This window comes from Homo sapiens, chromosome 2 (assembly GCF_000001405.40).
Source record: "Homo sapiens chromosome 2, GRCh38.p14 Primary Assembly".
NCBI lineage: Eukaryota > Metazoa > Chordata > Mammalia > Primates > Hominidae > Homo > Homo sapiens.
In genome coordinates, this window is record NC_000002.12 from 96,815,875 (window position 1) to 96,836,095 (window position 20,221).

The 20,221-nt window shown below is 53.1% G+C and overlaps 1 protein-coding gene and 1 long non-coding RNA gene across 9 annotated transcripts in view, besides 7 other annotated features; one reads left to right on the forward strand and one right to left on the reverse strand.

The window, feature by feature from the left end:
* Positions 1 to 980: a silencer, noted in NCBI's record as "silent region_11776". NCBI's record gives its function as "represses an Ori minimal core promoter by ATAC-STARR-seq in GM12878 lymphoblastoid cells {active_cell/tissue: GM12878}" and the evidence as "EXISTENCE:reporter gene assay evidence [ECO:0000049][PMID:35858748]".
* The window catches only part of CNNM3 (cyclin and CBS domain divalent metal cation transport mediator 3), a 21,199-nt gene continuing 1,371 nt past the window's right edge, over positions 394 to 20,221 (forward strand). Inside the window, exons 1-8 of one of the 8 annotated variants that reach the window (NM_017623.5) lie at positions 394 to 1,628; positions 9,184 to 9,327; positions 10,959 to 11,108; positions 11,857 to 12,026; positions 12,225 to 12,321; positions 12,693 to 12,826; positions 13,122 to 13,260; positions 16,678 to 19,508. In NM_017623.5, the coding sequence (NP_060093.3) occupies positions 404 to 1,628; positions 9,184 to 9,327; positions 10,959 to 11,108; positions 11,857 to 12,026; positions 12,225 to 12,321; positions 12,693 to 12,826; positions 13,122 to 13,260; positions 16,678 to 16,742 (2,124 nt within the window). In that variant the 5' untranslated portion in view covers positions 394 to 403 and the 3' untranslated portion in view covers positions 16,743 to 19,508. Of the gene's footprint in view, positions 1,629 to 9,183; positions 9,328 to 10,958; positions 11,109 to 11,856; positions 12,027 to 12,224; positions 12,322 to 12,692; positions 12,827 to 13,121; positions 19,509 to 20,221 lie in introns of those variants that run through there. The other 7 variants (XM_017003800.3, XM_011510957.4, NM_199078.3 and 4 more) reach the window with 7 other exon arrangements.
* Positions 991 to 1,130: a silencer, noted in NCBI's record as "silent region_11777". NCBI's record gives its function as "represses an Ori minimal core promoter by ATAC-STARR-seq in GM12878 lymphoblastoid cells {active_cell/tissue: GM12878}" and the evidence as "EXISTENCE:reporter gene assay evidence [ECO:0000049][PMID:35858748]".
* Positions 1,141 to 1,250: a silencer, noted in NCBI's record as "silent region_11778". NCBI's record gives its function as "represses an Ori minimal core promoter by ATAC-STARR-seq in GM12878 lymphoblastoid cells {active_cell/tissue: GM12878}" and the evidence as "EXISTENCE:reporter gene assay evidence [ECO:0000049][PMID:35858748]".
* Positions 12,778 to 13,278: an enhancer, noted in NCBI's record as "H3K4me1 hESC enhancer chr2:97494389-97494889 (GRCh37/hg19 assembly coordinates)". NCBI's record gives its function as "activates a minimal SCP1, AML or CMV promoter by ChIP-STARR-seq in primed H9 embryonic stem cells {active_cell/tissue: H9 hESC(primed)}" and the evidence as "EXISTENCE:reporter gene assay evidence [ECO:0000049][PMID:30033119]".
* LOC124907859 (uncharacterized) lies at positions 13,897 to 18,515 on the reverse strand. The gene is made up of 2 exons (XR_007087143.1): positions 17,437 to 18,515; positions 13,897 to 16,765 (listed from the first exon to the last, which is right to left on the reverse strand). It is a non-coding gene; the product is annotated as an uncharacterized LOC124907859 (long non-coding RNA).
* Positions 16,422 to 17,621: an enhancer, noted in NCBI's record as "BRD4-independent group 4 enhancer chr2:97498033-97499232 (GRCh37/hg19 assembly coordinates)". NCBI's record gives its function as "activates an origin of replication core promoter dependent on BRD2, P300/CBP, MED14 and CDK7 cofactors, and independent of BRD4, by STARR-seq in HCT116 cells {active_cell/tissue: HCT116}" and the evidence as "EXISTENCE:reporter gene assay evidence [ECO:0000049][PMID:35650434]".
* Positions 16,422 to 17,903: a biological region, named in NCBI's record as "BRD4-independent group 4 enhancer GRCh37_chr2:97498033-97499232".
* Positions 17,284 to 17,903: an enhancer, noted in NCBI's record as "H3K27ac-H3K4me1 hESC enhancer chr2:97498895-97499514 (GRCh37/hg19 assembly coordinates)". NCBI's record gives its function as "activates a minimal SCP1, AML or CMV promoter by ChIP-STARR-seq in primed H9 embryonic stem cells {active_cell/tissue: H9 hESC(primed)}" and the evidence as "EXISTENCE:reporter gene assay evidence [ECO:0000049][PMID:30033119]".

Here is a 20,221-nt window from a genome sequence, read left to right on the forward strand (position 1 = left end):
TTCCGACCGGCCGCTCCGCTCCCAAGCCGGGAACTTCCCAGAGAATTGGCTCGGCCTCCGGGCGCGGGGGACAGCATCGGGAGGAGTGGGACTCCGGGCGCCGCGCACGGGCCGAGGACAGCCGGGCTTGGGAGGCCCTGCCCGCCGCCCCGCGTCCTCCCGGCCACTGCCACCCCGCGCATCCGGAGCCGCAGCAGACTCGGCGGGGCCCGGAGCCCCACGCCCCCGGCCCGCCCCTGGCCGCCACTTGTTTACTCCCCGGCGCAGCCTAGTCCGACCCTGGGGCCCGCCCCCGCCCACCGCCTATTGGCCGAGGAGGCGCGAAGAGCCGTAACGATTGGCCCGGGGAGGCGCGGGGCGAGCGGGGTAGGCTGCGCGAGAGGCCGAGAGGGGGCAGCAGGCGATGGCGGCGGCGGTAGCTGCGGCGGGTCGGTTAGGCTGGTTGTTCGCCGCGCTCTGCCTGGGCAACGCCGCGGGGGAGGCCGCGCCGGGCCCGCGAGTGCTGGGCTTCTGCCTGGAGGAGGATGGAGCGGCGGGCGCGGGTTGGGTACGCGGAGGGGCGGCGCGGGACACGCCGGACGCCACCTTCCTCCTGCGCCTCTTCGGCCCGGGCTTCGCCAACAGCTCTTGGTCCTGGGTGGCCCCGGAGGGGGCGGGCTGCCGGGAGGAGGCGGCCTCCCCCGCGGGCGAGTGGCGCGCGCTGCTGCGCTTGCGCCTGCGGGCCGAGGCCGTGCGCCCGCACTCGGCGCTGCTGGCGGTGCGCGTGGAGCCGGGTGGCGGGGCGGCTGAGGAGGCGGCGCCGCCCTGGGCTCTGGGCCTGGGGGCGGCCGGGCTGCTGGCGCTGGCAGCGCTGGCGCGAGGCCTGCAGCTGAGCGCGCTGGCGCTGGCGCCTGCCGAGGTGCAGGTGCTGCGCGAGAGCGGCTCGGAGGCGGAGCGTGCGGCGGCGCGGCGTTTGGAGCCCGCGCGGCGCTGGGCCGGCTGCGCCTTGGGCGCGCTGCTGCTGCTGGCCAGCCTGGCGCAGGCGGCGCTGGCGGTGCTGCTGTACCGCGCGGCCGGCCAGCGTGCGGTGCCCGCCGTGTTGGGCAGCGCGGGGCTCGTGTTCCTGGTGGGAGAGGTGGTGCCGGCCGCCGTGAGCGGGCGCTGGACGCTGGCGCTGGCGCCGCGAGCGCTCGGCCTCAGCCGCCTGGCCGTCCTGCTCACTCTGCCCGTCGCGCTGCCCGTGGGGCAGCTGCTGGAGCTGGCGGCGCGGCCCGGGCGGCTGCGGGAGCGGGTGCTGGAGCTGGCGCGCGGCGGCGGCGACCCCTACAGCGATCTCAGCAAGGGCGTGCTGCGCTGCCGGACCGTGGAGGACGTGCTCACGCCCCTCGAAGACTGCTTCATGCTGGACGCCAGCACCGTGCTGGACTTCGGCGTCCTGGCCAGCATCATGCAGAGCGGCCACACGCGCATCCCGGTGTACGAGGAGGAGCGCTCCAACATCGTGGACATGCTCTACCTCAAGGACTTGGCCTTCGTGGATCCCGAAGACTGCACGCCGCTCAGCACCATCACTCGTTTCTACAACCATCCGCTCCACTTCGTCTTCAACGACACCAAGCTGGACGCTGTCCTGGAGGAATTCAAGCGAGGTAACGGCCCGGGCATGGTGCAGGGGACGCCCGTGCGAGTGCCCTCTCCCTGAAAAGGGGTGGAGAGTTATGGAAGCCTTCTGGAAAGGGTCCCACCCCTGTGGAGAGCAGTGAGACCTCTAAGGTCCCTTTTCAAGACGGTATTGGCCTTGCAGCTTGGAATGACCTTTTGAAATACTTAAAGGCCATCGATCAGAGTGGGAGGAATCCTTTAGACAGCGAACACTTTAACCCCCGCGTCAGGATAGCCCCCCCCCCCCATTTGCAGGGAGGGGTATGTCCGCTTGTCCTCTAATCCCCCAGCTCTTTCCCTCTCCCAGAGTGTTTCTGTGTGCTTGACTTTGTAGCAGGTCCAAATTTTTGGATAGAAACTAGAAGAACATAGAAAAGATGGTAGTCTCCAGGTATCTGGGATATTGTTGTGTGCACACATGTAATATCAAATTGACTGGACCTGTAATGTTTCCTTCAGAGCATTCTTAAGGTCCCTGGCGTTACTGCAGATAAGGGTATTTAGGTGTCAATCCCTTATCTGCGGTAAAGTCAGGGAAACTTAACACTTTGCTTTCACCAAAAGTAACTCCATTTATGCTGACTTAGTCTCCCTTTCTCCCAGCTCTGTCGCGCAGGCTGGAGTGCAGTGGCCGATCTCTTATCACTGCAACTTTCGCCTCCCAGGTTCAAGCAGTTCTCCTGCCTCAGCCTTCGAGTAGCTGGGACTACAGATGCACCCCACCATTCCGGGCTAATTTTTGTATTTTTAGTAAAGATGGGGTTTCACCACGTTGACCAAGCTGGTCTTGAACTCCTGACCAGGTGATCCACTTGCCTCGCCCTCCCAAAGTGCTGTGATTGCAGGCGTGAGCCACTGTGCCCGGCCCTTTTTTTTTTTTTTTTGCTTTTTAATCTCCTGTTTTTTAAAATTTTATGTAGAGACAGGGTCTCACTATTTTGCCCAGCCTGGTCTCGAACTCCTGACCTCAAGTGATCCTCCCACCTTGGCCTCCCAAAGTGTTGGGATTACAGGCGTGAGCCACCGCGCCCAGCCTCACCTCTTCTTTTCTAACCCTAAGGTCTCAAGTTCTCCCTTAACTCCACATTTTCATCCCTCCCTTCACTGTTTTAGCTGAGCAGTTCGGAGATTGAAGGTAAAACCAGTACCCTCCGGATGTGAAGGTGTGGTTTCTTCTGCAGTCCTCTCCAACATCATCCTTAGTGGTGCTCCCCAGAGTTTGGTGCTCAGACCTTGGTTAACAGCCATGCTTCTCACACCTGCACTCCTGTAGGGTGAGGGTGGGAGCACCCCAGGGTGTTGGATGGACTTGACCCTAAAGGCTGCCAGCTGTAAGGCCAAGAAGTGGCAAAGCCCCCTGGTATTTGTGGCAGGATGTTTCTGGCACCGTCTGTTGAGAGCCCCTGGCCTGTCGTTGCAGGAAGCCAGGCTTTGTGATAATGACCGCTACTCCTGACTGAGCACTGCCGTGTGCCAGGAGCTGATGGGCACTTTCTGTGTAATCTCGTCCCTCATTCCTTGCAGGAGGCCTGGGTGCTAAGTTACTGTTACTGCTGTAGCTCAGGAATGGGTGGGAGGCTTGGGTGGGCAGCTCTATTCTTTTAGACTCTTGGGTGCTCCTGGCTGTGTCCCTAGAACATGGCCATGCCACCCTGCCCTGGGGAGGGAGCCTGGGTTTGGGTCCAGACAGAGCCTCGCGGTGGTAAGTACTCCCATCTGGGCTGCCAGAGGCAGCCCCTGAGGCAGGGGTGGTTCTCCTGGTGTGGTGGCCAACATTGCAACCCTGGAATCAGCGGAGTAGGTTCCATCCTGCCCTTGCCTGCCCCCAGGCCCTGAAGGCTGCTCAGCCTCTTGTGGTGCAAAGTCCTCTGCTGTTAGTGATAAGAGTGGGTAAACAGACCTGCGGGGGGAGACTCATCAAGCACTTTGGCCAGTGCCTGGCGTGCATATGCTGTGTGCTTGGCGTTAGCAGGTGGTTCTTACTCCGGGACAGGCTCTGCTGGTAGGTGAGCTGTTTGCCAATCCAGGAGCAAGGGGTGAATCTGGAATTGCAGATTTCTGTTCTTCTAGGCAGGTCACCAGACTTCCTTTTTTTTAGGGAAAAAGTGGAAGACTGTAGCTGTCCTTTTGGTGTTCAAAGCACTCACGTTTCTAGATTCTTTAAGAAAAAGCTCACTCTGGTGTCTGGCTTCAGCTGGCTGCTGCTTTCAACAGTTGAGCAGTCACCAAGCAGAGATTTGGAGCAGCGGAGATGGAAGGGTTGTCCTGTTCAGAACTAAAGGCAACTTCTGTAGTTGGTCATGATGCTCAGGATGAGGCTGGTGAAAGTGGTCTTTCATTTTCCAAACCGCCAGTGTCAGGATCTTCGCTGCCATGGTCTTGTCTTTCAGATGCGATGGATGAGCTTGGTCCAGGGTGGTTGGGGATTCCACTTGGGGAAGAATAAAAAATGTTCATGTTCGTTGGGAAGGAGCGCAGAGGCAGGATGTCCCCTGGCGGGGGGGCTTGTGTGCTGTGTAAGGAACTTGTACTTGATCACCAGGGCCATGAGCATCAAGCAGCAGCATCAGTTATTTTTACAGATCAGTAACAATTGTGGACACCAGCGCAGGGAGACCAGCGGTGTGAGGGATCCAGGTGAGAGGGGATGATAACCTGAACAAGGTTCATGGCAGGCCTGGAGAGGAGCCCCAAGAGGGCAGCAGAGGTGGAATTGGGAAGATTGGTATCTGGCAGCAGGGCTATGCAACAAGGAGGAGCAGCTGAGGATGAGGCCCAGATTTCTGGCTGTGTGGTGGCGGTGCGCCTTCACTAAGGGCCGGGCGTGGGGAGCAGGTTTTGGCCATTGAATTTGTGTCTGTGCAGTGTCCCAAGAGGCAAACTCCTAGCAGGCCGTTGATGTGAAATGCAAGTGGGAGGCAGAATAGGAGTGTCTCTCAAGTCATGGGAGGGAGGCAGAGAGCCTCAGCCTCCTAGGAGCACAGGTGTGTCAGGGGCAAGGGAAGCCCAGGAGAAGCTGGCCAGGAGGAGGCAAGACCAAGGAAGGAGGAGTTCCCGAGATGCGGAATGTCCTGGAAGCTAAGGGAAGAGACCACTTTCCCAGGGAAGGTGAGTGACAGGAGAGGAGGCCAGCAAACAGGATGCCGTTGACCTTTGCAAGAGCAGATTTGGTGCCACGGCAAGGGAGCCATTTGGGGAATGAATGAGGTGTGGAAAGGTACGAGAACCAATGTAGACAGCCCTCCACAGAGTGTGGCTGCAGAGAGAAGTGACTGGCAGAGGATGTGGGACAGGGGAGGAGGCCTTCTGCTGTTTGGTTTTAAGATGGGCAAGTCCAGTAGGTTCAGATTGAAATGCAGGTTGAAATGTAGCTAGGAAGGAAATTAGAGAGGCCAGGGTCCGGGCTGCTCCTGTTCTGGGCTGGGTGGCCTCCAGGCAGGTCACAAGCAGCCCGATGCAGGAGGATTTGGGGTTGAGTGCCTCTGCTTGAAACAGACCTTTCTAAAAGCTGCCTGACAACATGCTGAAAAGGATCCCCTTGGAAGACAGTGGGGGAGGTTTTTGGAACCTGGAGGTTAAATGGGGAGCTCTTTAATCCCCCTTGACTTCCCCGCTCCTGTGGTGAGTGAGGGCCATTCGTGGGCAGACTGGCCATGTCTTTCTGGTGACATCCCGGAGCTTTTTTCTCTGCTTCTCTAGTTCAGTGCAGTCCTTTGGCAAATATCTTTATTTTTTCCGTGTTAAAGTCCTTTTTGTCCTTCCTAACCTTCTTAAGCATTCCTCCACTTAGGAACAAAGGGCATATTGCAGTCTTTGTGGCGTGTGAGGTTTTAAAAATCGATTCCCTTTCCATCTCTCTGCCAAGCTAATGAGCCTCTGAATTTCGTGGAGCTGGAGTCCCTGCCATCTTGGCAGCTTTCATTCCGGGTCTTGTTTCTTTTGCTGTGTCTGCTAGGGAACTTTGTAGTCTGGGGGCAAGGTAACCTCCCCAGCAAGGCGCCCCTCAATCAGTGCCAACTTGAGATGACGTGCTGATTATTTTGTGCAGACGTCACCAGGAAGAGTGAGTGCTTTGGAGCCATAATAAATAACTTGGACAGCTGCTCCTTGACTTACAAATGGAGTTATGTCCTGATAAACCCATTGTAAGTTGAAAATACCTTAAGTCAAAAATGTGTTTGATACATCTAACCTACCAAACCAAATAGTTCAGCCTGGCCCACCTTAAACATGCTCAGAACACTTACTTTAGCCTGCAGTTGGGCAAAGTCATCTAACACAAAACTATTTTAAAATAAAGTGTTGAATATCTCATGTAATTTATTGACTGCTGTACTGAAAGTGAAAACAGAATGGTTATATGTGTTTGAAGTATGGTTTCTACTGAATGCATATTGCTTTTGAACCATCAAATTTGAAAAATTGTAATTTGAACCATTGTTAAGTAAGGGACCTTAATGTACAAAAGAACATTATTATTATTATTATTATTTTTTTTTTTTTTTTGAGATGGAGTGTTGCTCTCTTGCCAGGCTGGAGTGCAGTGGCACAATCTTGGCTCACTGCAACCTCTGCCTCCCGGGTTCAAGTGATTCTTCTGCCTCAGCCTCCTGAGTAGCTGGGACTACAGGCGTGCACCACCACGCCCAGCTAACTTTTTTATGTTTTTAGGAGAGATGGAGTTTCACAATGTTGGCCAGGATAGTTTCGATCTCTTGACCTTATGATCCGCCCGTCTCGGCCTCCCAAAGTGCTGGGATTACAGGTGTGAGCCACTGCGCCTGGCCAAGAACATTATTATTATTATTTTTGAGACAGAGTCTTGCTCTGTCACCTGGGTTGGAGTGCAGTGATGTGATCGTGGCTCACTGTAGCCTCTACCTCCTGGGCTCAAGTGATCCTTCCACTTCAGCCTCCTGAGTAAGCTGGGGCCACAGGTGAACACCACCATCCCCAGCTAATTTTTAATTTTATGTAGAGATTGGGGTCTCCCTATGTTGCCCAGGCTGGTCTCAAACTCCTGGCCTCAAGCGATCCTCCCAGCTCAGCTTCCCAAAGAGATGGGATTACAGGTGTTTCCCACTGTGCCTGGCCGCAGTCTCTGCTTTAAAGGAACCCAGCTCTGGTTTCCTGTCTGCTGGGAGCCAGATGATTGCCATGATGCGGAAAAGAGTCTGACCAGCTCCAACAGCAGTGAGGAGCGTCAGCACACTACTTTTGTCTTTCTCACAGTATTCATTCATTCACTGAGGTGCTTTAGAAAACAGAAGAGAGAAGGTATTCCAACTGTTATTAACATCATAGAAATTGGGCATTATGAAAGGGTACTTTGGCATTCAAATAATTGGGGTACCCTGGAGCCTGCTAACTAAAATTAAACTTGAAGCTTTTCCAGGGCTTTCTGCTTGACGTTGGCAAGACACACTGTGAGCTGCTCGTGGCTCCTTGGAGCTGGCCTGTGGGCAGGCATCAGTGTGAGTGGTTCCACTCTGGTGGCTCAGCAGATGAGAGGTGACCTTGAGTCCCTGCAGCTGCCCTTGCTCTGTCCCTCTGCTGTCATCTTTGGCTGCCATCTAGACCCCTCAGACATTCTTCTTGGGATTCAGTCACACGACCACTGTTCCAGGGGATCTTCCAGGGCCTGCTTTCTTCTGTTCGTGATAGAATCATCCCAGTGTGGCAGGCCATGGAGAATTGTGTGCCTTGTTCTAGAGAAGTTTGAAAGCAAAGGAGTGAGTCCCTTTCTGTAGGAAACCTGCCAAAGGGGCTGGCTTCCTGGGAGAAGGGAGCCGAGATGAGGCCTCTCTGCGCCGAGGTGGCCATTTAGATCCTGGGCTTTGGTGCTGGAATCCAAGACATTAACCAAAACCACATGTCGCACTTGGCCTTCCTGGCCTGGCCTGGCCTGACAGGTTTGTACTCTGGTGGGGCAGCCGTGGCCCATGTAGAGACGGCACCCAGCACAAGCACTGAGGGTTAGAAGGTGTCTAGAAACGCGGTTCAGCAGGGCTGAGTGGCAATCTCCAGGGGCCCTAGCCTTCCTCCCGGAAAGCGGGGAGACGATTCATGTGGCCATTTCCAGCTTTTTGTCCAGGGCAATGCAAGCATCCTGGAGAACTGTGCTTTATTTAATCAAGCCCATGGGATGTAAAGTATGATCCACACAACAACACAAACTTGACTGTTTGATTTCCCAGGAGAGTCTTGAAGCAGATACCCCCTCACAGGCAGGTCCAGGCCAGTTACCCCTCAGCGTTTCCACTAGTGACAAACGAGGGCCTGGTTGAATGAGTTGCTCCCATCCCCCTGTCCTGGACCTGTGCCGCCCAGGCCGGCAGCCCCCTCCACCTGGGGCTGTGCTACCTAAAGGTGGAGTCTGAGTTGAGATGTGCTGTGAGCATAAAACACACCAGATTCAGAGAGTGCAACATAGACAAAATGTCTATGAATATTTTTTGTATTGATTACGTATTGAAATGCTATTTTGACTATATTGGGTTACTTACAATATATTATTAAACTTAATTTTATGTGTTTCTTTTGACTTTTTTAATGCAGCTATTCAGATTTTAAATTACTTAGGTGGCTTGCATTCTGTTTTTTTCAGACGGGTCTAACGTAGTGTGGATGAAAAGCACTTATCTGAGACATAGTAAATTCCTGAAGCCTCCCCAGCATTCCCCAGCACTCTGAGACTTGGGCTTTTTTCCAAGCTTACATTCCCTCACTAAGCAAACAAACCAAATAGGAAGCTAACCTGAGAAAGACATATAGGGTAAGGTGGAAAATCTCAGCCTGGTGCTCCTCCTCCCTGCACAGCTTGGCTCCCGAGTGGCCAGCTACCACTCTTCTCATCCCCTAGTTGACAGCCCCTAATGGGCAGCTTTAAGAATTAGGAAAACCAAAAGATACACAGACACACACACATACACACAGTCTATCTGTCTGTCTGTCTATCTTTCTATCTCTTTCTAATTTCTATCATAAAGAAGGACAAGAAGCCATGCACATTTATGTAGGATGGACAGCATATATATTTACTTTAAGAAGAAAAAGACTTAGGAAATCCTCCCAAGGACAGTCAGGCTGGGTGGCCCCACTCAGCTGCCCCGTGTGGACTGTCGCAGGAGAGCCTGTGTTTCCAGAGTCAGTGCCCTTGTTAGCCTGCATGTGCAGGCTGGCTGATGTGTGAGGCATTTGTGTTCTCCACTGGAGGGAGGCATCCTTGTCTAAACTGCATCCATGTCATGGAGGTGCACGGACCTGGAGCTGGATCCCAGCTCTGCCAGCTCTGCCTGGGGGGCCTTGTGCAGATGGGCATGAGCCCACTGCTTCATTTTCAACCTGTGTGAAAATAAGGCCAGTTCTCATAATCACGCTGGGAGTCTTAAGTAAAAACCTAGAAAAGAGTGTGGCTCTGTGCCTGGCACGTTGTAGGAGCATGAACGTTAGCCGTGTCCTTTTGGTGGGCCTATACCAGGGGAGATGAATCAAACTGGGGGGGGCCCAGCAAGCTGTTCCATGAGTGTCCTCCCCCCACAGGGAAGTCCCACCTGGCCATCGTGCAGAAGGTGAACAACGAGGGTGAAGGCGACCCCTTCTACGAGGTCCTGGGCCTGGTCACCCTGGAGGACGTGATCGAGGAGATCATCAGGTCCGAGATCCTGGACGAGTCTGAAGACTACCGTGAGTCCAGACTCTTGGCAGTTCTGTCTCCGCTGGGCCTGCACACTTCCCCAGGCGTATGTTGCGTCAGAGGCCAGTGGGCCTCTGTGCTGCTGGAACCCAGCAAGATCCACAGCCAGGCCCCCTTCTGAGCCCTGCATGGGTGCTGGCAGAGAGCCCCCTTGCAGGAGGGCTCACGCCTGCACCTCCACACAAGCATGGTTGCCTGTGCCAGCGGTGGCCTTGCAATCCCAGGGCTCACCTGGGGCTCCATTAGCAGCAGTCCTATTAGTTTCCTCCATTACTGAGAGAGCTCTGCCCTTCATGGGCCTTTCCCAGTCTTCTGTCTCCCTAGGTGCTTTTGTTTTTGCAGGTTCTTTTGTACATTACAGAAATGTCCCCTGAAAGAACCCACTGTTTGCCATGAAGAAAGTCTTCCTGGCTGGGCGCAGTGGCTCACGCCTGTAATCCCAGCTCTTTGGGAGGCCCAGGCAGGCAGATCACGAGATCGGGAGTTCGAGACCAGCCTGGCCAATATGGTGAAACTCCATCTCTGCTAAAAATACAAACATTAGCTGGGCGTGGTGGTGCGTGCCTGTAGTCTCACATACTCAGGAGGCTGAGGCAGAAGAATCGCTTGAACCTAGGAGGCAGAGGTTGCAGTGAGTTGAGATCACGCCACTGCGCTCCAGCCTGAGAGACTGGAGGGGGTGGAAATAAGTCTTCCCAAAGCAGCTGATCCCGTGCCCTTGATTGCATGGTAAAAGTGTCCGCCTGTTAGCATGGTGGCTGAGGTCTGCAGGGCTGTACAGAGTCTGTGCGTCATGGCCGGGCCGCCTGCCCTGCATGCTTCCAGAAGTATCGCTTTAATCATGCGTCGATTTTCAAACATAGCATCTCTAGTTCCGTTCTTGAGACTGCCATAGGCATGGGGTCTCCAGGTTAATTGCTGCCCATTTGCATTGGTAATCCTTGAATACATGCTTTATAGTGAGAAGTTTTTCAGTGGCCAGAGAGGCTGTTATTATTTTTTAATTTTTTTTTTTTATTTTGAGACGGTCTTGCTCTGTCATCCAGGCTGGAGTACAGTGGCGCATTCATGGCTTACTGCAGCCTCAACTTCCCAGACTCAAGTGTTCCTCCCACCTCAGCCTCCTGAGCAGTTGGGACTACAGGCGCATGCCACCACACCCGTCTAATTATTTTATTTTTTTGTAAAGACACGGTCTCTCTATGTTGCCTAGGCTGGTGTTGAACTTCTGGCCTTAAGTGATCCTCCCGCCTCAGCCTCCTAAAGTGCTAGGGTTACAGGTGTGAATCACTACATCTGGCCTAAATTTAAAAAAGTTTTTAGTCTACATCCAGTGACCTATCAGGGATGCTTGTTATTTTATACAAGCTGCTTTGTTATCATATCAGCATTCTCTTCAGCCAGCTCCAAGGCAGATAGTCACCCCTCTCTCTGTGTGGTTGGGGTGGGAGCAGGCCCCGTGGAGGGAGCGGTGCTGAGGACATGTCCCTGGCGTTCCGATGCTGCTCCATCGAGGACCCCCTGGCCTCAGGAGGAAGGAGCAGGCGATGCAGCCCCTTAGTGTGGTCGTGTTGACTGACAGGTGGCTGATGCCTGAGCGCGCCCTCTTCTTCCATCTTAGGAGACACCGTGGTGAAGAGGAAGCCTGCTTCTCTGATGGCCCCTCTGAAGCGGAAGGAGGAGTTCTCCTTGTTCAAGGTGTCTGATGATGAATATAAAGTAACAATCTCGCCTCAGCTGCTCTTGGCCACCCAGCGCTTCCTGTCCCGAGGTGAGGCGGGAGGGTGGTCCATGCCCCCTGCTCTCCTCACCGTTCTGTGGGTCAGGAGGCCGCCCAGGGCCGACACTGACTCTGCTCCCCACTCCTAGCAGGCGGGTGCGTCTTGAGGACTTCTGTGTTCTCTGCAGCCCTGCCAGCATCTTGGGTCATGGGAGAGACACCTCCTCTCTGCCAGATGACCAAGAGCAGGGCCAGGCCAGTGCCACGCCTGGTGCACCACAGCCAGGGGGCCTCAGCTCTCAGCTGGGCGGATGTGGGGTGCCCTGCCCAGTTCTTTTTTTTTTTTTTTTTTTAAAGATAGGGTCTCGCTCTGTCACCCAGGCTGGAGTGCAGTGGCACGATGTTGGCTCACTGCAACCTCCGCCTTCTGGGTTCAAGTGATTCTCCTGCCTCAGCCTCCCAAGTAGCTGGGATTACAGGCGTGTATCACCACGCCCAGCTAATTTTTGTATTTTTAGTAGAGGCGGGGTTTTGCCATATTGGCCAGGCTGGTCTCCAACTCCTGACTGCAGGTGATCCACCTGCCTCAGCCTCCGAAAGTGTTGGGATTACAGGCGTGAGCCACCGCACCTGGCCCCTGCCTAGTTCTCTTGTGTTGAGGTGTTAGGGGCAGCTGCTCACAGGCCACCCGGGAGATCCCTGGTGGGCACAATAACTTTAAATTGCCTACAGTGTTGGGTGTGGTTCCACTGGCCACTAGGCCCCAGTGGACACTGTCCCTTTTTTCCACCACGTGCAGAAGTGGATGTATTCAGCCCGCTGCGCATCTCTGAGAAGGTCCTGCTGCACCTGTTGAAGCATCCCAGTGTCAACCAGGAAGTGAGGTTTGACGAGAGCAACCGGCTGGCCACACACCACTACCTGTACCAGCGCAGCCAGCCGGTGGATTACTTCATTCTCATCCTGCAGGTAGCTGTGGGTCCCAGGCCTGGAGTCCCTCCTGCTTCCTCAGGCCAGGGAAGGGTCTAGGAGAAGAGGGGAGCAGGGGCATGCGGATATGCACCCTCCCACCCCAAACAATTGAGGTGGTGGGTTTCTCCTTCCGCTGTCTTCTGACGGGAAAGGTAATCTGGCCGCATCTGTTTCTCTCCTTGCCACTCCTCCCAGGGCAGGGTTGAAGTGGAGATCGGGAAAGAGGGTCTGAAGTTTGAGAATGGGGCCTTCACGTACTATGGAGTGTCGGCCCTAACTGTGCCATCCTCGGGTAAGCCACGGCCCTGCTGATGCTGAGGGCCAGGGTGGAGGCTGCAGAGCCTGTCCCCCATCATCACTTGGGCTCTCAGTGCCCCTCCTCACCTCTCCTTCCACCTGAGCCCACCACCCCACAAGGTGGTGTAGCCCCTGGGCTTCCAGGAGGGAGGGCAGCATTCTTCATCGCTCAACTTTGTGGCCCACTCCACCCCTGCAAAACCTCTCCCGGCTGTGTTTGTCCTTCTCTCCCAGCTTCCCATGCACATTGCCTCTCCAGAGTGATTGGTGGGGTGGGTCTTCGAAACTGTACAGTTGTCCCCACCAGGGGAGGAGGCTCCCAGCTGCCAGCATGGCTCCTGCCATCACTGATTGTTCCTTTGATAGTTCACCAGTCCCCGGTGTCCTCGCTCCAGCCCATCCGCCATGACCTGCAGCCCGACCCAGGTGACGGCACGCATTCATCTGCGTATTGTCCCGACTACACCGTGAGGGCGCTCTCTGATCTGCAGCTCATCAAGGTGACTGCCTGGGCTGCTTGTGGGTGCTGGCTTTAGCCGACTTTGTGTCACCGGGGGCTAGACCAGCTGGTCTGAGACTGCCCGGAACAAGGCCTTCCACTCATCCTGAGGGACACAGACCTTTGCACCCAGTTTCCAAGCAAGGTCTTAAAAACACTTGACTCAGTTGCTCTTCTCTGCCCTTAACTAGCTTAAAGTTGTGCCTCTGTCCTCTTCGGGCACGGTGTCACCTTTCCTGCCTACCTTCTGCATCTCGCTTCACCAATTGGGTCCCAGTAACGCTGTCATCCTCCAGGTTACGCGACTGCAGTACCTCAATGCACTCCTGGCTACCCGAGCCCAGAACCTGCCACAGTCCCCTGAGAACACCGACCTGCAGGTTATTCCAGGCAGCCAGACCAGGCTCCTTGGTGAGAAGACCACCACAGCGGCAGGTGAGTGCCAAGTGGTACATCGTGCATGGTGTCTGGACCTGAGGGCCGTGAGCTCACACACACAGACTTGCACTCTCGCCGCCCCCCCACCCTCTGTCTTTTTTCTCTCTTTTCTCCCCATCCTTTTCCCTTCTTTATATATATATATCTATATATAAATAATTTTTTTTTTTTTTGAGATGGAGTCTTACTCTGTTGCTCTGTTGCCCAGGCTGGAGTACAATGGTGTGATCTCGGCTCACTGCAACCTCCGGCTCCTGGGTTCAAGCAGTTCTCCTGTCTCAGACTCCTGAGTAGCTGGGAATACAGGCGCCCACGACCACGCCTGGCCAATTTTTGTATTTTTAGTAGAGATGGGGTTTCACCATGTTGGCCAGGCTGGTCTTGAACTCCTGACCTCAGATGATCCGCCTGCCTCACCTTCCCAAAGTGCTGGGATTACAGGCATGAACCACTGTGCCCAACCCCCTTCTTGCTTTTTTTTTTTTTAATTCATTATTCAACTTGAACTTCTTGCTGTCTTTAATAGCATGGATGACACCAAACTATAGACTAACTGGTATTTAGAGTAGAGTATAGTAAGTCGGTATTTCTCTCAAGGACGTCTTAGAATGGATTGACTTAATCAGAGATTTGTTGGGAAGTGGGAATAAGTTTTAGTTCAGACACTCTTTTGGCCATTTAAGATTAAGTTTAGGTCACTTTGAGTCAGCAGTGGCCCTGGCTTAGAGGGTGTGTGGCTGGCAGACACCATCCTAGACACTAGAAGGGCATTTGTGAAGAGTTTGGTCAGTTCATACTAATATTTAAGCGTGGCCCATCCAGTGCTCCACTGCGAGCAGGAAGATTGTGTTGGAAGAAATTTTGCAAATCGAACTAAAGGTTGTGGGATATGGAACCCCATCCCCACACTGCAAGGAGGGAGGTGAAAGAGTCTGAAGTGTAGGCTGTGGGTAGGAGTGGTGAAGGGTTTCTTGTTCTTGTTTTTCAAGAAGATACTTTAATTCTGATTGCGTTCCTAAGGTTGGGGTCAGAGATATGCCTGAACTTGAGATTCCTGGAAGAGCTGGTGGGGCTGTGGAGGGAGCTGCAGGCTTGCCTCCTCCCACCCCCACCTGCCCCACCACGAGGAAGACAAGCTGTTATCAGCACTTCCTCTGCCAGGCACTGTGCTAGGAGCTTCCATGTCTAACTCTGCTAACCTCCCCGTGGCCAGAGGGCTGCTAGCTGTTCTGCCTGTTCTACAGGGCAGGAATGAGAGCCAGAGAGAAGGCCCAGGGACTCTGACCTGCTTCCTGTAGGCCTCCCGTGGAGCCACTGTGGCTGCTCAGACCCACACTCGAGAGCACAAACATGTTTTTCTAATAGTCCTTTCTGAATTGTGAGGTCACATGCAGGTGCAAGGGACAGAAATCCCACCCTGGGCCATGTGGATGCTTCAGCCCCTGTGGGCTCCAGATCTGGGTGTTGGCAAAAAGGCAGCGGGTGAGGTCGTGCTGCTTAAGTCTTGGATCTGGGGATGGGTTGCATCTCTTCCTAAAGAGATCTCTCTAAGGATGGTGCTGCACTTTTTTTTAAGAGATAAGGTCTTGCCATGGTGCCCAGGCTGGCTTCATACTCTGGGCTCAAGTGATCCTCCTGCCTCAGCCTCCAAAGTAGCTGGACGAGTAGCTAGTGCCGCACCTTTTAGGGTTGTTGAGGCTTCTGTGCTTACCCACTGTGATGGTTTCTTATTGTATGGGGTGCCCCTTCTACAGAAGTTCACATTGTCACATTACACTGGGGTCTCAGAGGCCAAGGTTTTAAAAATGGGAGTCTTTTGGTTTTGGTTCTCCCACATGTGAGCCTTTTTCTGGCTCACTGCTACTCAGACTGCACGTGTTGTAGTGAAGATACAGACCTAATCCCAAAATAATGCTCTTCCCATCACTGCACACCCGGAGATTTTTAAATAATCTTCACTGGGCCGTCCTGTAAGAGAATAGTTGATAGTGGCTTTGTGGGTCATTTCCTCTTTGTAATGGATTATTCTCTAGACACAATGTTGGTTATTTTCACTTAAGTACAACCTGACAGTTGCTTCAGTGAGGCTGGCCTGCTGTCTTTCTGTTTCTTGCCTGAACTCGGGTTGTCCTGCATTTTGTCCCGTGAGCTTGGCACTTCACTGTCCGGAGGAGCGTAGGGCCGCTGCACACCTGGAGATTTTGGTGGGGCACTGCTTAAATCATGCAGATGAGAACCAGTTTCTGGAGACCTTGGCACTAGACGCCCAGCAGAGAAGTGCCTTTTTTGAGACTTGGAAGACACAATAATTTTAAATTGCCTACAGCAGGGGTTGGCAAATAGTGGTGCAAGGGCCACATCTGGCTAGCAGCCTATTTTTGAGAATGAAGTTTTATGAGAACCCACACATCTGTTTGTAGATTGCTATGGCTGCCTTTGAGTTACAGCAGTGGAGCTGAGTAGCTGTGACAGAGACTATATGACCTACAAAAACTAAAAATATTGGTCCTTTACAGAAAAAGTTGTCTGACCCCTGGCCTACTATTTCAAATCCTGGGTAGGTCCTCCACGTCAGTTCTTCATGGAACTGTATTGCCGAGGGAAAGGCAGTCCCCACACTGTGCAGCCCTCCATGCTGTGCTCCTGGCTTTCTCTGCCATCCTGAGCCGCAGGCTGTGGGGCAGCGCAGCACCAGCACTGCAGCTGCCAGCTCTCCCTCAGCTTCCCCTGCCCGGGGCACCGGCCCTCTCCATGGTGCTGCCCGGAGCCAAGAGGCACAACCATTTCTGCTCAATAGCTTCTCCTCTTCTTTCTCTCTCTGCTCTCTTTAGCCTTCCCAGTAGACCTTTCCCTCTTTGGCACAGTTGGAAACTGCAGTTGATAAATGACTGTGGACTAGTGCGCGTTTTTTGTTTTCAGAGCACACGTAAGGTAAATATCTTCCCTCTCCCTGCCCCTTCACTTCCCTTTCCTGGCCCTTCAGCTGAGGGAGGAGCAGAGCCCATGGCTCCCCAGGCTGGGGGGCATTTTTCTCCAGGGGTGTGGGGTGGGCGCTCCCTTCCATCCTTCTGGAAGACAGGAGGGGTCATGAGACTCCTCCACTGTGGAAAATGGTGCTTCCTTCCAGCACAGGGTGCTGTATCGTCCCGGGAAGGTGCCTCTTGTTCAGCATAATGACCTGGGACCCTCGGGGCCAGAAATCCACAGCCCCAGCTTCCCCGTCTCCCAGGGAAGGCATCTGTTGGCTGACCATCTGCTAACCAGTCGCTCCTGTTTCTGCTCTGATACTTCCCAAGGCATCCCGAAGCACCTGTCTTAGCTGCCCCTTCCTGTCCCACAGAGGATTTGGCACTTGGTTTTGACAGGATACTTTACCAGCTTTGATGTTAATTCTCCTTCCCTTGTCTCCTGTAGGGTCCAGCCACAGCAGGCCCGGCGTCCCGGTGGAAGGCAGCCCTGGGCGGAACCCAGGCGTTTAACGGCTCACTAGGCAGCCCCAGATCTGGGGAACAGATGAGCACGTGGGGAGCTGGAGTGAGCTGAGCAGAAGTTTTGTGCCCGCCTGCCCCCATCCCCTCCAGGCCACGTTTTAGATGGCCCTTGTAGTTGCGGGTCCTGGGTGTCCTCAGAACTAGACATCAATGCCTGGATCCTTCAGCCGGCCCTGCCCTCCTTTAGGAGACAGGAGTCACCAGGGCACAGCCCTCCAGGCCCGCCTCAGGAAGGAATGAAAGGAATGCCATCATCTCTAGTTCCCAGGGCCCAGCCTTCCCCTTCTCCCCCGGGGCAGGGACAGTGCGGCATATTCAGATTCAGACCTCTTTGGGCTGAGCCACCTTGTGAGTGCAGTTACTGCCTTTGTGTGGCCGTGACCTCTATTTGTTTGCTTTTAATTTGCCAACCTATCGCTGCTGGCAGCACTTTTTGAGCAAGCCGAGAGCACCCATTTTGGCTGGGGGTTCAGATCGATGGCCTTGTCCATGTTGTCCTTTCTGGCTTCCCTGATGGTGTCATGTTTCAGCGCATGCGCCCCAGCCTTTCCCATGTGCCAAACCAGAAGCTCCACTGCCCGTAGGCTGTCCCTGTAGCCCTGCTCCCTCCCTGGAGGCTGCTCTTCTGATTCTGAGAGCTGGCCTAGTGGTGCTGAGGGCCCCTTTCTGCTTCTCTGCCCACCTGCTGAGTTGCCACTCGCAGTGTTGTCAGTTCCCGTGTTCTGAGAAGAGGTCATGCCTGGGAGGAAGGGATCGTCATGCTGCATCGAATCCTCTCTCCGCCGTGTGGCCCCCAGGAGAGTAGCTGCCTGTTGCACCTGCTCCACACCTCCCCACAGCCTCCCTGCAGGTGCTGTGTGGCCGTGATGTGCAGAGAGCAGTGAGGGAGGGTTCATGAACCAGGTGGATCCTCTTTAAAAAAAAAAAAGTTTTTGTTATATCTCTAGAACATTTCAAGTCTTTTCCTTTTTTTCTGTTCCTAGCTATGGGGTTTTAGAGAAGTGGGAACAGGAAGGCATTTGTCTTTTTCTTCTAGTTTACTACATTTTCCTTCCGTAGTTCTTCAGCTGTGTGGAAACGGGCATCACAAGGACATAGGATCATAGATTGGGTAGGGAGGGAGGAGGATTTCTGGAACTTTTCTCAAAGGAATTTGGACCCTTATAAATGGGACTGAAGGTCAAAACAACAGTGATATCCTTGCTTAGAAATTGTCCTCAAGGAATAAACTCTGAGAGCAAGCCCGGGTTGGAAACAGATGCTTTAAAATCCTCTCTCCAGAACAGTGGTTTTTTGTTTGTTTATTTGAGATGGAGTCTCACTCTGTCACCCAGGCTGGAGTGCAGTGGTGAGATCTTGGCTCACTGCAACCTCCACCTCCCAGGTTCAAGCCATTCTCCTGTCTCAGCCCCCTGAGTAGCTGGGATTACAGGTGCCCACCACCACACCCGGCTAATTTTTGTATTTTTAGTAGAGATGGGGTTTCACCATGTTGGCCAGGCTGATCTTGAACTCCTGACCTCAGGTGATCTGCCTGCCTTGGCCTCCCAAAGTGCTGGGATTATAGGTGTGAGCTAAGATCAGGGATTCTTAACCTTGGCTGCACACCAGAATCACCTGGCAAATTAAAAATACGTGGACCTGCCACCAGAGCTTGTGATTTAATCAGAGTCGGCATCAGAGTTTTCAATTTTTTATTTATTTATTATTATTATTATTATTATTATTATTATTGAGACAAGATCTTGCTCTGTCGCCCAGACTGGAGTGCAGTGGTGTGATCACGGCTTGCTGCAGCCTCGACCTCCCTGGTTCAGGCCATCCTGCCACCTCAGCCTCCTGAGTAGTAGGGACTACAGGTAGGCACCACCACACCCAGCTAATACTTTTAATTTTTTTTTGTAGAGATAGGGTCTCATTATGTTGCCTGGGGTAGTCTCGAACTCCTAGGCTCAAGCGATCCTCCTGCCTCGGCCTCCCAAAGTGTTGAGATTATAGGCGTGAGCCACCGTGCCCAGATTCACAGAAGTTTCATACACCTTTCACCCAGGTTCCCCTAATGTTAACAGCTTACATATAACCTTGGTACATTTATCAAAACTAAAGGTGCAATCATACTAATAGCTAGAGTTTATTTGGATTTTACCATTTTTCCCAATGTCCCTTTTCTGCTGCAGCAGCCAATCCAGGATGCCATACTGCACTTAGAGCTGTTGCTTTCTTTTTTCCTAACTTTATATTTTGAAATAATTTCAGATGATAGGAAGTTGTAAAGGTAAGGGCCCCACGCACCCTTCATCTAGTTTCCCTCCATGGTTACATCTTATATGGTTGTAATGCAGTATTCCAACAAAGACTCTGACACTGGTGCGATGTGGGTGGACAGTCCAAATCATTTGTCACATGTACATCTGTGTAACTACCACTGCAATCAGGATAAAGAAGTCCCATCCCCACAAGGATCTCCCTCCCCACCTTCCCTAACTCCTGGTAACCACTAATCGTTCATCTCTTCTTATTTTGTCATTTCAAGAATGTTGTATAAATGGGAGCATAGTGTGTAAGCATTCGGGATTGTCTTTTTTCACTCGGCGTCATTCTCGGGAGATCATCCAGGCATTGCATGTGTCAACAGTTTGCTCCTTTTTATTGCTGAGTGGTATTCCGTGGTGTATGCATTGGCCCCCTGAAGGACACCTGGGATGTTTCCAGTTTGGGGCTATTCCAAATAAAGCTGCTACGACTATTCATGTACAGGTTTCTGTGTCAGGATTAGTTTTCGAGGAGTGTAAATGCTTGGTCATAGGGTTGTTGCATGTTTCGTTTTTTAAACAATCAAACTTTTTTTTTTTTTTTTTGAGACGGAGTCTCACTCTTTTGCCCAGGCTGGAGTGCAGTGGCGCAGTCTCGGCTCACTGCAAGCTCTGCCTCCCGGGTTCATGCCATTCTCCTGCCTCAGCCTCCCCATAGCTGGGACTACAGGCGCCCGCCACCACGCCCGGCTAGTTTTTTGTATTTTTAGTAGAGACGGGGTTTCACCATGTTAGCCAGGATGGTCTCGATCTCCTGACTTCGTGATCTGCCCGCCTCAGCCTCCCAAAGTTCTGGGATTACAGGCGTGAGCCACCGCACCTGGCCACAAACTGTCAAACTCATGTCCTCACCGGCAACCTAGGATGATCAGTTTCCCTGAATCCTCCACAGCACTTAGTGGTGTCCACATGTTTTTACTTCAGCCGTTCTGACAGGTGTGTCGTGATGCCTCACGGTGGTTTTTCATTTGCATTTCCCAGTGGTGGACACCTGTGTTTCGCTTCAGTGGAATATTCCTGTCTTTCACCCATTTTCTGATTGGATTGTTTCTTCTGTTGAGTTTTGAGAGTTCTTTGAGATTCCTTTATGGGATTTTTGGTTTCCATTGGTCTGTAGCTTATCTTTTTCACCCCTCCCCCTCCCCCCCTTTTTTT